Source organism: Homo sapiens, chromosome 5, assembly GCF_000001405.40.
Source record: "Homo sapiens chromosome 5, GRCh38.p14 Primary Assembly".
Lineage (NCBI taxonomy): Eukaryota > Metazoa > Chordata > Mammalia > Primates > Hominidae > Homo > Homo sapiens.
Window position 1 is genome coordinate 61,492,606 of NC_000005.10, and position 17,440 is coordinate 61,510,045.

Genomic DNA, 17,440 nt, shown 5'->3' on the forward strand with positions numbered 1-17,440 from the left:
ATGGCAACTCCTTTTCTTCCTCCATCTTCACCTGTTAATGAGTTTTTAGTACTTTGATATTGGGAACAAACTCCTTTATAGGAATACTGAAGTAACGCTCTTGTAAGCACAACCTTTGTGATTCAGGGTAGAAGTGCTTTTGAGTTCTTTATAAAGCTCAAATTCTAAAGCAGGTGAGGAATTTCCATTTCTTGAGGGTGCAGACCTCAGGCAGGATCTATTCTAGATTTGGGCTGCTTTATTGAAGATCTACTATTTTCTCCTTTCCTTGCCTTTCACATAGAGAGTCCTGAAAGAAGGACCAACCACCCCACCTTTTCTACTGCTTGTGACCTTGCTCCAGTAATTTCTTACGGGGAAATTACAGCTGAGATTCTTACTTATTGAATACATAGCAGTATACATTTTTGAAGTGGATGGATTCATTTAGGGCTTGCTGCAGAGAGGCTTACCCTTGTGTTTCCTTTTTCCTTTCTTTTATTTGGGAAATGTAGCATAAGAGTAATGGACAAAACTTAAAGTTCCAACTTGAGAGGCAAAGTTAACTTATTAGATCTGTGGTTATTATTCTGCTTCATGGATCACCCATATAGAGCAGGAGAGTTCTTGAACCTAACAGGCCTGTCCATTTTCTTTTACCATTGCAAAAACAACCCCATCTGAGTGAGTAGAAGTATGCTGCTGCTCTTTATATAAAAAACTTAAGTGAGAGAGAACCTTTATGCAATTACTAATTTATCTCAAAAATTGAAGGACTTGCACAACTGCGAATATACTAAAAACCATTGAATTGTACGTTTTAAATTGGTGAATTGTATGGTATATGAATTATGTCTCAACAAAGCTGTTCCTAAAAAAACTAAAGGCCAAGTGTTATTATTATACACATTATCAGATCTACTTAGAAGATTTCTTGAGTTCTCAATGGACTCTGCATTAGGCTGTGCTTCTCTGATGGTAAGTACAATCAGTTGGAGAGTCAGGAAGGTGCCAAACTGTTTGTCCTGTTTGTTTTGATATTGTATTTCTTTAGGCTAGCAAACTTATGGCATCTTACTAAAATTATGGCATCTTATTTTATGCAAGGAAACAGCAGCACCTTGCTTAAATCTGTTTTGGTATACTAGGTAGGTTCAGATACCTGTTCCCAGTGCCAGATTTTACTTCTGTGGTTTGTCAAAGCATGAATGCCTACTTTGTTGGATGTAATCTTGAATCACAAAGTGTACTTGGTTTAGATAAGAGAGATACTTTGAAGGAGAACTGGAAAAAAAGTTTCTACTGGACATATGAAACACGATTTACTCACCTTAATCAGTGTGTAAGACCCAACCAGAACATTTTTGTAATTGAGAGCATTTTTTCTTCATATGGATTCTAACATATAATTCAAAATAATTAATGGTCATTTCTTTGATTAAATTGCTATTTAGGGTAGGGAGTGGTTTTAAATTTTATATTTTGTTTGCTTAAGAGGGCTGGTGTGAAGGCTTGACATCTCCCCGCCTATCCTCCACCACACACACACACACACACACACGGAGAGAGAGAGAGAGAAACAGAGAAAAGTGGTGGTTTGTCTCTTGTGTTGCTGTGGGGTTTTGTTGTGTTTTCGTTTTGAACAATTTTCTAAAGGTCTGTTTTTCCCCATTAGGTGCGGGAGATGTTAAAGATGAGGGACTCCAATGGGGCCCGCATGTTGACCTTGATAACAGAGCAATTCATGGCTGACCCTCGCCTGTCACTTTGGCGGCAACAAGGCACTGCAATGACTGACAAATACAGGCAGCTCTGGGATGAGCTGGGTAAGCATGTTTCCTCACAAATTACCATTGATTTGCATATGGATAAATACCATAGTCAGATGTTTCAAGAACATGGTCGTAGTATTGCTGAAGAGAGAGCTGCTCATGCATGGAACGTGTTGCCAATATATAGGTTAGAAGCATAGGAGGATTTAGAACTTGGGCTGGCATTTACAGAAAACAACCTTAGCAGGGTTTTGGGGGAATTGCCTGATCTTGAGGAAAGTTAAGTGCAGGAATCTCCCTTTAAGTATTTGGAAAAAAAAAAGCTGTATTATTTTTAAATAGCAGTTTTATATTGTAGAGCTGATTACTTATTTCTAGATTAATATTGTAATTGATTCAGCTAAAATTTAGAGTCTTTCTTCCCCCTTCTCCCCACACTGGAATTATTAAAATTAGTTGGATATTCATTTTATTTTTGGCTGCTATAGATTTAAATGAACTGTCGATCCTCAGAATGGAAAAATACAGCAAATTCTAATATTTATTGCTTCCTAAATTCCTGGTGGTTAAAGATACAAATATAGCAAGTGTTCAAAAAAATGAGAAATCCACTAGTCATGTTCATTAAAAGAATACTGGGAATTTTATTTGGATGAGTCTTGGTACCCAATGTTCATCGCTAGGGAAATAATGAATGATGTATTTATTATCTTGTCTTTTTATTAAGAAATCTATAAGTGACACCTGAAATTTTGACAAATATATCAGTACCTGTATTAATTTTATGAGAAGTAATGTTGTCTATATTTACTAGAAGATCCTAGTCTTAGTGAAATTTTTCTTGGCTAATGATGGACCACATCATGCTGATTGATCCCAGGTGTAGTCTAAACCAAACGATGCTGTTGTCCGTGAAGATACCAAATGACCATGACTGGAAGGGGTATTTGAGATTAGCCGTTTTACAAATAAGGAAACAAGTCCCGAGAGGTTAGGAGACTTCCACAACATGACACTGTGTAATCTAGGGTTATGCAGCAAGTTGGTAAAGGATGTGATATCAGTATTTTCTTTTTCCTATTAATAGGATATACGTTCAGAAGTTGGCTGTGGACAAGTTTGCTACTTGTGAACTATTAGATATTTGTTGACTTTTTCCCTGGCAATTTTCTTAAGTATCTTGTAATAACTTAATCTTGCTGCTTTCTGTGAGTCTCCTGAAATAATGGTAGTGCCCTTCCCCCTAATCAAAATGTAAATCAATCTGTAACTACAATAGATAGTTTCGATGTATTAGAATGATGTTTGGGGGGCACAGTGTGGTGGTTAAATAACACAAGTATAATGCATGGTTTAAATAAGTATTTTCATAAAATCCTAAATGTTTTACTTTTTAAGTAAACCTTTTTCAATTTTGTAACTCTAGTATAGACTTGATTGGTTAGATGCTTTATAAAGTAAAAAGGATTAGCATTAAGAAAACTATAATGAAGGGGATCATTTAAGGAAAAATTATTGAATTAATATTAAATGAATGCAATTTAAAGAGCTTTGGTACTTAGAGAGACTTAGAATTACAAACGACTGTTTAGGAAGAAAATACCAACTAAATTTTTTGGTTACCAAAAAGGGTACTGGTGGTACATACAGTCAAATAAAATTTGCAGTGTTCACATTTAATTCATGGTCAAATGTCACTTTTCCAAGTGGGTTTTGAAAATTACGTACCTTAACCCTCAATCAGAAATATAAATTTTTATTAGGTGGAAGTTTCCACCAGCTGATTCTAGTTATGCCCTCTTATGGACTACTTTCTAATTAAGGACCAGGCTTTATACAAATTCTTTGATTTCAGTCCAGCGTAAAGACCACAACTTCTCGTCCTGTGTGCCCCCCACCCACTGCCCAATCATTACTAGACTGCTAGAAATTCTCCTATGTACTCTGATGGCAAGCAGAGGTCACTTGCCATTTTAATGGGGTCTAAGTTCTGTGAAGAATCTCACGTAGAAGTAACAGTAAGTAGCACATCTTAATATTCATTCACCAAAAAATTAACTGAAAGTTGCTTCTGGACTACAAAAGGAAAGGCTTTTCTTCTTAATAAAATGGGGGAATTTGACTTTGTGCCCCTACACAGGGCTCACATTGCTTCAAGGCTCTGCTTTGGAATTAAATGCTGAGCACTGCCAGATGCCAGACATTGAGAAGAGGCTGAGTTTTGTCGGCAAATGGGATCTGCAAGTTAATTGGTGTTTTCTGCAGGCTTCTGGCTGTGAAATGAAATTGGAAGCCCTTTAGCCACATGGATAATACAGGACCTGAATACAAATGTCACATGTCACCATCAGGACCCACTGTGAGACAATAGTGTTCCCACTCCAACACCGCGCCATTACAGATCATTTAAATATGGGGATTACATTTAAACTAAAAGCCCCATTTGCCTTTTACTGCAATTTAAATGTCCTCTTAGCAAAAGCTAAGTGACAAATTAAATGAAAAAAATGCCCACATTTTTAAAGTTGTAATGCAAAACAACCTTTTATTGCTTCTCATGTGCCACGAATGAATCATTATACTTGTCAACCCTAAACCAAGCCATAATTGGAGCAGCTACTGTTATCAAAGTGGGGCCGCTCTGTGACAGCTTAATAAAGCTGAAACTGTTAAATTAAATCTCAGATGCTTAACTCCTTAGCACTGGTGGATTCGTTGGGTCCATTTCTGGCAGTGACCAGTACACCAGGAAAAAAAAAAAAAAAAAAGATTCCTGGCATGAAAGCCCTAATCTGATGAAAGTGTACAAGCGAGAGTATGCTAGCCAAGTAACTCTGCTTCTTGGCAGATGGATTTGGAGCCATCAGATTGTCAGCCAGAAGATTACAAAATCTTTTTCATATGGCCCAGTGTCCCCCTCCCCAAGATTTACAATTTCCTGCTTACATGTGATCTATGAAAATTTAAATGTTGATGTTTCAAAATTAATTGTAAAAGTAACATTTATTTTAACTTTTTCTTTCTTTCAAGTGAATATATGAAAACTTATTTGTGGTAGCCACAGGCCCAATTTCTTCCCCCCATGCTCCAGCTAACAAAGGGACTGATTATTCTGTTTTTCTTTTCTAATATAAGTGCCTATGACATTCATTTGGTATGAGTTAACTTTTGTGATTTACTCCCTGATTTTCATAATGTAGTATGAAATAGGTACAGATGCATAGTCTTAAGATCCTGTTTATTGCATCTCATTTACAGATACATTTATCTTATACATGAGTCAGTTTTTCAAATATTAATTTTACTTTCTCTACATGGTGTTTATTTTCCCAAACATACACCAGTGTTCTCAAGATGAGTAATGTTGTATCATAATCAGCTATAAGAAAAGGTATATATTAAAATAGAAAGCCCCATTGCAATGGTAGAGGTTGTACGTTTGATAGAAGCTACATATTTAGTAGAATCTATAGAACACACACCTCTTGAATTACATTCTTTATTCTGTGACATGCAAATTTTCTGGAAAGCAGATCACAGAAATAACCTCTGGATTTCCAAGAACAACCCAGTGCTGATTGGGGGTGAGCACACCTATTGTTAGCTGTAATGGCTGTCTGTTCAGCACACTTAATTACTGTGGGGGTCTAGGGATGAGGGGATACACTGTAACCTCGCATCTGTGTTGATGGCTCTCTTTTCTTAAATGTATTCCTAGACTGCAATTTTACTTTGCTTCATAAAACTATAGGTTGTGGCTGCCAGTCTATTAAAACCTAAATAAAATGATGTCATTAGAGGAAACAGTTAAATAACACTTAATTACAGTTTTATCACAGGGAAATATTCTTAAATTTTTATCTTCAACTGTTACATAATATGTTTTTCCCCAAGTTTTAAACACTTAACTTTCTCTCGGAGCTGAGTCACGCGCTTTGCTTTCTAGCATATAAATCCTGTTTCTTAGGGAGCGGGTGGGCTGCCATTGCAAGAGCCTTGCTGCACTGAGCTTTGCTCATTCAGTTCACAAGAACAAGGTGGCATGTCTCAGAGTTCTTTTCACGGCTTCTCATCTGGAGACCTAATTCTGTGTGAACAGAAATAGCCAGAGTTAGATTGTTTTTCTAGTTTGAATTTCATTGTATGATTAGTTTGACCACTAGTTATTAAGCAACAGCTATAATGTTCCTTGGTAGGGTGCTAGATAGATTGAGTGGTATACAGATTCAGGACACTTAGAATTAGAGTAAATCTAACTATGTTTGGCAGTAGAGAACACAGCCTACCCTTTGAGACTATATTTTTTGAATTAACCTGCTCCATGGACCCAAATGCTGTTCCATCTTCCATCCCAGACTCAAATAGTGATTTTTCTGTAACCACCTACATTATTCTTGAATAAGGAGAAAAACATATGCTTAAGTCACACATTCAAAATGATACTTTTAAGTAATTTAGGACAATCTCTGTGTACCAGAAGTAAGATTCTAAAGGCTCTGCTTTACTCTGCTTTATAGGTAATTGTGGAGAAATTTCTGGGGAATGCTGTCTTACATCTTTGAAAGCAGTAGGCTTAATAACTGCCCCCACCAACACCCCCATCCCTGTTTTGAGCTTCTTACTTTAGTTGAGTTATTCAAACTAACTCAAGCTTGCCACATTTTATAGTTGATGGTGGTTAATTAATGGCTAAGGAGCAACTGCTTCTTTTTGAGAACTGGAAAGCTTACCAAAATGGTTCCCCATATACATAGTTACCTCTTTGCTAGTACCATGAAGAAAAAGCAATTCCAAGAGTTCCCTTGCAGCAAAAAGATGTCGGTACACACTTGGTAACTTCCAAATAGCTGGAAGTATAGAGCGTAATTCTAATGAACCACATATCAGGATTGCTTGTCATCTACCTGTTTGTCTTCCCTGGGCATAAGGAGAGGACAGCTTTCCCACAACATAACACTGTCAGTGCTGTGTTGTTAACCTTCTTTCCAGAAGTCTTATTGTGGTCTCTCTATCAGTGTGTATGAAGCACTTGCTATGTCTAGAGGAACAGATGTATTAGATATTTGATTTTGGGGTAGGTGATAGTACCAGTAGCAAGGAGGGGGTAGAGAGATGAAACATTAGGAGATGTGATAAATAAGAACAGCCAAGAATGGATGAAGGAGAACTTTGATAGAGTAATTTCATTACAAATTAGTACAAAGGTTTATAGAAACCAAATTTAATATGGTTTTATAAGATGTTTATGGAGGTGTGTTGCAGGGAAGAAGCAGTGTGAATACTCCAGAAAAAAGAAACAACTTGAACAAAGACAGCAGTGGGCTCAGTGGAGGAGAGTAGAGAGCCTTCAAACTCATTATCAAAACTGTTGAGATTTTCAATCCAACCTTGCTGTTCTGTATTGTTGCTTAAAAGCGGAGAAGAGGGAGATGGTAGACAGGTATCATAAAACCTGGATTTTTGCTTTATTTCTCATTTTGGTCTAGCTCCTAATGATAACATAGTTGCCAACATTTATTTGTCAGGAACTGTGCTAAGCACTTAATGCATGTGTTGTTTTATTTAATCCCTGAAACAATCCTGTGAAATAGGTCCAATTATTTGCCCTCATTTTACAGCCAATAATACTGAGGTTTAAGGAGGCTTGATAACTTGCCCGAGGTCACAGTAGCAAAGCAGGAATTTAATCCCAGGTGTCAGTGACTTCAAAAACATAACCACCAGTCTAGACAATGTCCTCAGCTTTATTATTATTATTATTATTATTATTATCATTATCATTATTATTTTGAGACAGAGTCGCTGTGTCGCCTAGGCTGGAGTTCAGTAGTGCGATCACGGCTCACCACAATCTCTGCCTCCCAGGTTCCAGTAATTCTCCTACCTTAGCCTCCTGGGTAGCTGGGACTACAGGCGCTGGTTGCCACACCTGGCTAATTTTTTGTATTTTTAGTAGAGATGGGGTTTCACTACGTTAACCAGGCTGGTCTCGAACTCCTGACCTCGTGATATGCCCACCTCAGCCTCCCAAAGTGCTAGGATTACAGACATGAGCCACCGTACCTAGCCAGCTTATTGTTAAACACTATTATATGCCTCTCTTCCAGGTAGTCTCTCTACTCGGAGCAGAGCAAGGTCAAAGCGAAGCTCACCTAGTGGGGAATAAACCCTGTAAGAGCTGCCTGGCCTTGTCTGCCTACCCATGGTACCACAATCCTGACTACCATAGTCCGCTGAGCTTACCTAGTCTAGTCGCTAATTTGTACCCATGTTTACAGGGACCCTCTAACTTCAGGTTCTTTGAGAAAACAAGCACATGGATCCAATAGCCAAATACGTGCCATTGACTGAGAACTGTATTAAATAATAAACTTCAGCTTATCATAAATATAGGTACTACATGCTGTAGTATGGGGTACTACTGTAGGATAGAATACAGTGAAGTTTGTATCCCATTTTCAGGTCCCCTTTGGTAAGGAGCCGGTGAAGACCCTTAGCTCATTGTCTTTGCCCTGGCCTGAACTAGGCGCTGATAATGACCACAGAGTTGCCAGCACTAGTTTATCTCATATGGCTCTGTAGGCTCTGCAGACCCCTTCCTGACATAAGCTGTCCTGCTGGGATGGGGTTGTATACTCTGGTCTCAGTTTCTGCTTCTCTCTGCCTTGTTCAGAGTTTCCTGTAAATACAGAGGATTGGTCAATTGTATTGCTGAGAAGGCTTTACTTCCCTCCAGCACTGTTCTCAGAAGGCTCATCTGCTTCTAGGTCCTCATTACTGGGGCATGTTTTCTTTCCCTGTGCTGTCCTACTGCTTTCTGTCTCTTAAAACTCAGAACTCTGTATTCTTGGGTCATAGACCTCGGAGTTCTGCCCTGCTGTGGGGGTGGAAAAGAGGGGTTTATTTTCTGCTTCTTTAAGTAAACAGAGTAATCTCTAGTTTGGGTCAGAAGTAAACCAAAAGAGAGAATGTATGGGCAAACCTAGGATAAATACTTGCTGTGTACTGCTATCAACTATCCTCTTGACTGTGGCTGCTAGGGTTTAATTATCCATTCAGTTACCTGTATAGGGAAGAGTGGAAATAAAGAGAAAAACTTTAAAATACGAATTAAAAAAATAGATTTTCAGGATTAAAAGAGACTTTACAGGTCATTTGATCCTATTGTCTAACCAATTGGAAATTCTTAGTAGTATCCATTGTCTAAACTGTTTCTGTATAGAATTAGATAATTTGTAACAACACTGGAGATTCACCTCCTTGTGTGTTTTTATGAAACCATATGCTAAACATGGAGATTTGGTGAGGAATTAAGATGCTTTAAGGCTCATTGTAATACACTTGAGTGTTACTGTCTTATATATGTTGTGTGTTAGTAGCTTTATTTGTATCAAGAATCGATTCCAGTTACTTTCTTTTATGTCATCTTTCTACTTACAGCATTAGTCCATTGGTAGTAGATACTCTTCTCACATTAGTGGTTAATAGGAATGTCATAGCGTTGGTATAAGGTGTCCTCTTCTTTCTCATAATTCTTAGAAAGGTTCTCTCCCTACTTTTCCTGTTTCCTAAGAGATAGTACTGACCGCACTTGCCTTCAAGAAATGTCCACCAATGGGAATTCTGGCTAGGGAAGTCTCCTTACTAGGCTGTGGATCTAGAGAGTACTATCATGGTAGGGTGGAGGGGGAGAGCGAGAGTGAAAATGAAGCAAGACAAGCTGGGGAAGAAAATTTCCTTTCACCATTTCTTACCCTGAAGTGGCAGCATAGAAAAATTAATGAGGTCTGAGAAGCTTCGTTTTAAGCCATCTGGGATTCCCAGGGGCTTCACAGAGAATCAGGGATGCCAGGAGCAGGAAGGAAAGAAGTGGAAGCAAAGGGAAGGCTGAAGCAGCTCCTTAGGCAGCTCTGTGTATGTGCCAATATCAAGCAAGGTGCTTTATACATGCTATCATAGTTAATTTAAGCTTCGTTAGGCTCATGATGGGGAGGAAAACCCAAGGAAGTTAGAAATGGTTGTCCTTAGAGGGGGGTGTTCAGACACTGCCCTGCAGAGCCCCTAGGTTTGGGGTCAGGGGGAAGCGAGTGCTGAAGGGACGAGGCAGATCCTTCTCAATCAGAGCAGTGTGACTTTACCACATTACTACTAGGGTTTTCATCAAGATTGTTCTGGAGGAAAGGATTCCGATATTATAAATGCATGCTTGATAATCACTATCTTCAGTAGGCTTTTAATAGGTACTCTTGTTAGACATGTACTAAAACAGGGGTTCCCCCATCCCCGGACTGTGGACCAGTATCAGTCCGTGGCCTGTTAGGAACTGAGGCACATAGCAGGAGGTGAGTGGTAGGCAACTGAGCATTACTGCCTGAGTGCTACCTCCTGTCAGATCAGCAGTGGCATTAGATTCTCATAGGAGCACAAACCCTGTTGTGAGCTGCACACATGAGGGATCGAGGTTGCGTGCTCCTTATGAGAATCTAATGCCTAATGATCTGAGGTGGAATAGTTTCATCCCAAAACCATGCCCCGGCAACTGCCACCCCGCCCCCGCCACCAGTACTCATACGTGGAAAAATTTTCTTCCACAAAGCCAGTCCCTGGTGCCAAAAAGGTTGGGGACTGCTGTACTAAAGGATGACTTTTAAATTTATATAAATAGCTTTTTCCTATATACTTTAGGGGAAGGCAAGATGGCAGATGATTTGCAGCAAGTGAACTTTTGTGAGGCTGCTTGCAAGCTTGTCTGATAATTGTATAACACTGTTTTCATGTTTTATTTTAAAATTCCAAAATTAATATAAGAAAAAGACTCTGTATAGTAAAATGCTAGAGCCTTCTGATGTTAATTTGCTTCAGGGAGTTAATAACTGGTCTTAGGGCTATTTTCTTAGACTTTGATCTGGTTGACAGAATACCCAGGGTAATGATACTAGTTGTCTGAAAAATGTAGGTAACTCACTCAGTTCTCTGTGCTTTCTGCTGCAAAGATAACCTTTGAAATAGAAAGCCAAATCTCTGTGATTTTAAGCTATGACTAGCTAGATTAATAAATTTCAAAATTTGCTTCAGCAAACCTGGAGAAGAGAGTGAGAAACATTAATAAAGTAGGAATCAGAGAGAGACCTTGAAGTGGCTTAGATTGGAAGCCATAGTCTTCCTTTGTGTATGATCAAGGGTGGAATGAGTTGAATGGAAGAATCCCAAACAGGGCACTTGGGTCAAATATAAGCTTGGAATGGAGAGAAAATCCTGTTAGGAGGAATACTTCCAAAATGCTCCCAAGAGCACAAAGTCTGTTTCCCCCCGCCACTTTGAAGATGAGATTAATATATCCAGCAACCTGTTCACCAGAACAGATTGACCATGCACTAGAAGATATTCTTTGCTAAGCATTAGGGTCATATGTAGACCACATAATTTGAAAGATTTGCCTGTGTGTTTGGAAACCATTAACCACTCACTGTATTTAATAGTAGTATCGTCAGTTATTGTCTTTATTGGCAAATTTAAACTAATGTCATACCCATCCTTTCTTAATCTTCTTTTTATTCCTGTATTAATGTCTATTTGATAATCTTACCCCTTTTTTCCACTCCTTCCCAAAAATAGTGAAAGTAATTTTTATTTTTCCTATAAAGGTGAAAATATGTGCCTGATATTATAATTGAAGCTCAGTAAATATTTGTGAATTAAAAAGTGAATGAATAATTGAAGTGTAATGCTGACACTTACTTAGAAACATCAAGAAGCAGTTATTTTTGATGTACTGAAAACAATGATTGAAAGGTATTAATCTTTACTGAGTCCTCCATTTTCTTCTTCTGCTTTATCTAGCCTTCTCCACCCATGTGCACAATATTCATGGGTGCCTGTGTGTGCCTGGACACACACACATGCACTCTGAAATACAAACAGTTTAGAGTACAGAAGGGCAATGATTCTCCCTTGCCATCAATGCTGCAGGTAATCTATTGCATTAATCAGCCAGCCAGTGGGAAATGCATGGGGAGTGATTATACTATCATACACAATACAATCAGCATGAAGCACTTGTCAAGACCAATACATCAAAGTTTAATTCACTAATAGAATGAATTAGAGCAAAATGAAACATTCTGTTCTCTAGGAAACCCAACACCCATCATAAGTTCTTTCTGAACTCCACAGAAAAGTCAGTGCATTAAGAAATTGTTTTTTTGAATAAAATTACAGTTCCAATCTGATGAAATATTACAAGCCAGTTTTCTTAGAATTCTTACACAAGTATAGTGCTTAAGTGTCTACCGGACCATCAGCACTCTATACTAATCATCATTGGTAAATATGATTATATTTTAGTGGACTCTTGATTGTCTTTTGTCCTAAATTGGTTCTTCATGGCAAATGAATGGAGGGGCATTGTATCAGTGGCTCAGGGAAGCACTTATGCGTAAATATGGATGGTGGACAGTTGAATAGGAGACAAATTAACAAGAATCTGCTGTTTATAGTGCCCTCAATTGTAGGCTCTGCTACTGTGGAGCTTACAGTCTAGTCAGGAAACAGAATAAATAAATGGAAAATAAAAAGCAACCCTGGACAGCTTAAGACAACTATAGAAACAAGGTTAATATAACGTAGGACATGTTTCGGAAAATTTTGGCAATAGATGTAATATGTTTTATGTATTAGAATAAAATAAGTCACTATTACAAGTCACTATTATGTGTCAGTTGAGTCTTCTGGAAATAGAGTTATATAGACTTTGGAGTCAGGACTATTGGATGAGCCATGAAACTGTTTATGAACGGTTTTTTATGTTTCTTATGCTTAACTGGCTTAGTTGAGCAGCCAGTGCAGAACACATGGAAAATGTTCTTGCAGCTTACCACAGTTCACATTCCTTCAGCTATTGACAGTCCTTTTTGCCTTTTTGTATCTCAAAATAAGAAAGCATCTATCATTGTGCCTTTTTTTCTTTTCTCTGATTTAAAACTTTTTAGTTTTTCCTTAACTCTCTCCTTCCCTCTCTTGAAAAGGAGGAGGGTTAGTGAGAGGTAGAGGAGGTGGCTCTGGTGACCTCCTACAGAACCTGGCTTCCAGTGAGGTTGGGCTGTTTTTGATGTATCTTTCATGTTGACTGACTGCACCAACAAATCAAATGGAATGGGAAGACTACATATCAGATAAGGGCCACAGGTTTATAGGGAGGAAAATTATCCAGGATACCAGTTAATTGTTTTGGAATATCTATGATTTACCTTCCTTCCTTCCTTCCTTCCTTCCTTCCTTCCTTCCTTCCTTCCTTCCTTCCTTCCTTCCTTCCTTCCTTCTTTCCTTGCCTCCCTCCCTCCCTTCCTTCCTCCCTTCCTTCCTTCCTTCCTTCCCTCTCTCTCTCTCTCTCTCTCTTTCTTTCTTTCTTTTTTTGAGACAGTCTCGCTCTGTCACCCAGGCTGGAGTGCAGTGGTGCTATCTGAACTCACTGTAAGCTCCACCTCCCTGGTTCATGCCACTCCTGCCTCAGCTTCCTTAGTAGCTGGGATTACAGGCGTCCACCACCATGCCCAGCTAATTTTTTGTATTTTTAGTAGAGATGGGGTTTCACCATGTTAGCTAGGATGGTCTCGATCTCCTGACCTCATGATCCACCCACCTCGACCTCCCAAAGTGCTGGGATTACAGGCGTGAGCCACTGCGCCCGGCAGATTTATTTTCTTCCTTGACAACAAAAATTTGGTTATTTTACTTTAGAATTTTGTCAGAACTTGGTTAAGTGATAACCAATTGTGTGCCATTTAGCTAACAGTTTTGCCATGCTTGACCGGAGCAATCTCAAAAATTATTTTTGCTGTATTCCCGAGGTTTTATTTTAAAATTTTCCTAGAAATGTTTTAGTGAATTAAAAACTGGCATATCAAATTTAAAGGAGAATGTTTTCCCCAGTTAAAAGTTATTTTCCAGGCCAGGTGTGGTGGCTCACGCCTGTAATCCCAGCCTTTGGGAGGCCGAGGCGGGTGGATTACCTGAGGTTGGGAGTTTGAGACCAGCCTGGCCAACACAGTGAAACCCTATATCTACTGAAAATGCAAAAGTTAGCTGGATGTGGTGGCGCACACTTGTAATCCCGGCTACTTGGGAGGCTAAGGTAGGAGAACTCGAGAGGCAGAGGTTGCAATGAGCCAAGATCACGCCACTGCACTCTAGCCTGGGCAACAGAGTGAGACTCTGTCTCCAAAAAGAAAAAAAAAAAAGTTATTTTCCAAACATGGGATGACTGACATATTAAGACAGCATTGTACTGAGAACAATACTATAATTAGGGTCACAATTTTAGTGTGATTTGACCCAAGAAATTTTGTGACTATAGTTTTGCTAGCACAACTAATTATGCCAGTGATCTCCTATTTGTGACTGCAGTTAGGCATTTCATGGCCTCTAAATAAGTATAATTAGTTAATTGGATCATGCATGAAATTCTAGACTCTTATAATAGCCTCTGAGAACAAAAATAAATATGATAAATATTATGAATTGTTTAATAGCCGTGGAAGCCTGGGAAATACCAAAAGTGATTGTTTTACTTTGCCTGCCATTACTTCATAATGATAAACATAATAAAAAGTAGAAATTAAACTTTCCCTGTAATAACCTTTGTTTTTCTGAATTTGAGACAGAAGAAAGGGAGCCACTGGACTTTCTTATTCACCTTTAGAGAAGGTGATGCTGGTTGTACTGCTCCTCAGCCCCCACCGGCTTCTCCCCAGTCCCCACTGTTAATGGCCCTGTGCTTTCTCCAGTGATATTATACACATAGTTGTTTTCCTGGGATATATGGAGAAGACCAATATTTGTCAAAAATTCCAATGGTATCTTTTATAGAAAGTGCATAGCTTTTACTTAATCAATTCATTGTTCAAAAAACCCCACAAAAGGTACAGCTTTTATTTTAATTACTGAGATGATTATGTTAACAAAAAAACCATGAAGGAGAAGGAACTTGAAAAACAAGTTTTATTGGTGTTGGGGGGTAGCAGTGAACAGCTGATGTATTCAGTCACAAATCCTGATGCTCTACCCAGAAACACACCCCAGCAGGCAAACAGCATACATGTGCATTATTCCAGAAATGCAGACACTGACTTAACTCTAACAGAGCCAATCTCAAGGTTTTCAGAGAAAACAGATTTCTTCTGACTTGAATAATCAATCTTGAATCATAAATTGAGCTTTTATTTATCTACTGTTTCAATCTACAATGAAATTACTTATTTGCTTTGCCTGTCAGTCCTGAAAAATTGCAGTTTTCTTTTGTTAATTTAAGCTATTTGTAGATGGACCTGTGTAAGTTTTTGTTGGATATGCTTTCATATATATGGGAGAGACATGTTCTAAGTACATAAGAACATGTGGTTAAAGTACAGAATTTATTAGCTGTGCATTTAAGGATACTTCATAATTTCAGATGATAATATACTATTTACATTATATGCTGAAATATGAGGAATGGAATGATGATTCTGTCAAGACTAATATCATTTATTTTGGAATTCATATATACATAACTATACATACAAATTCCAACTTACAGAAGAACCTTCTGACCACGTAGCTAGATCGAAGGTTAAACACCATAGTGTTTAAGAATATTGGTTTTAGGGGAACATGAATCTTAGACCAGATCCTGGCTCCCTTAATAGCAGCACAATTTTCTACTTCTCTCTGCACATCAGTTTCCTTATCTATAAAGCGGGCTTCTTTTTCATGTGAGGGTGAAATGTGAAAATACGTGTAAAGCATTCAGTACAGGGTTAGTGTGAAATAAACATTCAATAAATGGCAGCAATTATTGTCAGGTGGATAAGTGTAGATGCCACTCACTTTTAGAAGTATGTTAGCGGAATTAAGTGGAGCAATCTTTGCACCCTAAAGACATTTAAAATTTTAAATGTAGAATCTAATTAGGAATCCAAAATGTGTTACCCGATATTGTTAGGATTTTCTTTGAAGTGATAAAATTAGCATACAAACCAGCATTAAATATTGCAAGGTATATTGAGATACCTTTTATACTATTAAATTTTCATAATGACTTCTTTGTATTGCTTGACTTACAGCTCTTCTCATATGATGAATGGTTTGTTTGAGTTTGATTATTTTAACTAATGACATTCTTATACTCATTTGCAAATAATTTAGTTTTCTATTTTGTAATCTAGCAGATTTATAATCTTTTTTGGTAACTGTGATAGGTTAAAGATGGCCACAGATTCTTTACTACTGTCTCATGAAAATATGAAGTCTTTGTTCCCTCCTCTAGAATCTGGGTGATTTTTATACATGTTTGATCAACAGAATATATCAAAGGATATCTTGGGCCACTTCCTGGGCCCAAACCTTACGTGACTGGCAACATCCACTTCTCATCTCTTCAAAGATCTTGGAGCCCTGAGTTTCTATATATAAGAAGTCTGGCTATCCTGAGTCGGCCTTGCTATCAGAAAGTCCATGCTATCCACATGGAGAGGCCATATTGACACAGGATGAAAGGGGAGAGGAGAGAGAGAATTTCTAACTTACAGAATTGTGAGATACAACGGTGTATTGTTATATTAAGTCACTAAGTTTTAGAGTAGTTTTTATTAACAAGAACAGTGGTTATAAGTCTAACAACACTTCATGCCTTCTTCTAATGGTTATTCTCCAAATGCTAGTAACCCCAGAAATGTAAAATATGATGATGTGTAAGACTGAAGTTCTGTTATTTCACTTAATCATATCCCTTGAATTGGACTAAGTTGGATGTTTGTCAATATTATAGGAAAGAGTATAACACAGTCTTAGAGTATTATACATTTTCATTTTTCATAATATTTCATTTGCAGTAATTCATCATCATCTTCAAACTCTTATGTAAGATTTCACATGGTTTGGCTTCTGAGTTTTTTTCCCCAAAATAAGTTCTGATAACTTTTAATTTTAAGTTTCTATAGAAGACTATGGAACCTGGGCATTAAAACTAAAATGGCAGAGTGGATGGTAGACTAGAAGTGTTTTGGCAAAGATACTGTGGGAGGTGATCCAGAGAGAGGGAAGCCGAAGGAAGAGTACGCACATAGAGAAAATGTTCAGTAACCCTGTTGGGTTGGGGATGTGTTTCAGAAATGCCTCCTGGTGGGAGTAGGTAAGGATGCAGTTGATAATCCAGAAGCTAGGTGATGCACACACCAGTGATTTGAAAATTGCCAAAGCATCTCAGACCTTTAAATCACTCTCTTTGCCTATAGGCCCAGACTGGAGTCCTGGGAGCTAGAGAGAATAATGTCTACAGGAAAACAAAACACATTTAAAAGTCGCTTATTGAAACCAAGGGAAAAGGAGAAATTGAAATGTGTTTCAATGCCAAGTGGAAATTAATTGTTCCAAGAACTCATCATTACAAGTTGCAGAAGTATTTCAAGTTACTGATTTTTGTTTAATATGTTGTCTTGTTTTATTTTATTAAATGTAAAATACTTATAAGGGTATTCAGAGTGATTTTGAGTGATTCTTTAGTCTGAGCACTCCAATTCTGTTTTAACTGTTGATTCTCAATTTCTTCAACATCCAAGTCTTTCATCACAATGGTTTGCAGGAGTGCACCTTTTGAAGCTGTGTGAATTCAACATTTAGCAAGAACACTCAAGTCTAAACAACCCGATGAGGTT

General features: G+C 38.0%; 1 protein-coding gene across 4 annotated transcripts in view; it reads left to right on the plus strand.

The window, feature by feature from the left end:
* ZSWIM6 (zinc finger SWIM-type containing 6) overlaps positions 1-17,440 on the plus strand; it is a 213,915-nt gene that overhangs the window by 160,348 nt on the left and 36,127 nt on the right. For all 4 annotated transcript variants that reach the window (NM_020928.2, XM_047417453.1, XM_024446139.2 and 1 more), the window contains one exon: positions 1,655-1,805. In NM_020928.2, the coding sequence (NP_065979.1) occupies positions 1,655-1,805 (151 nt within the window). The remainder of the gene's footprint in view (positions 1-1,654; positions 1,806-17,440) is intronic.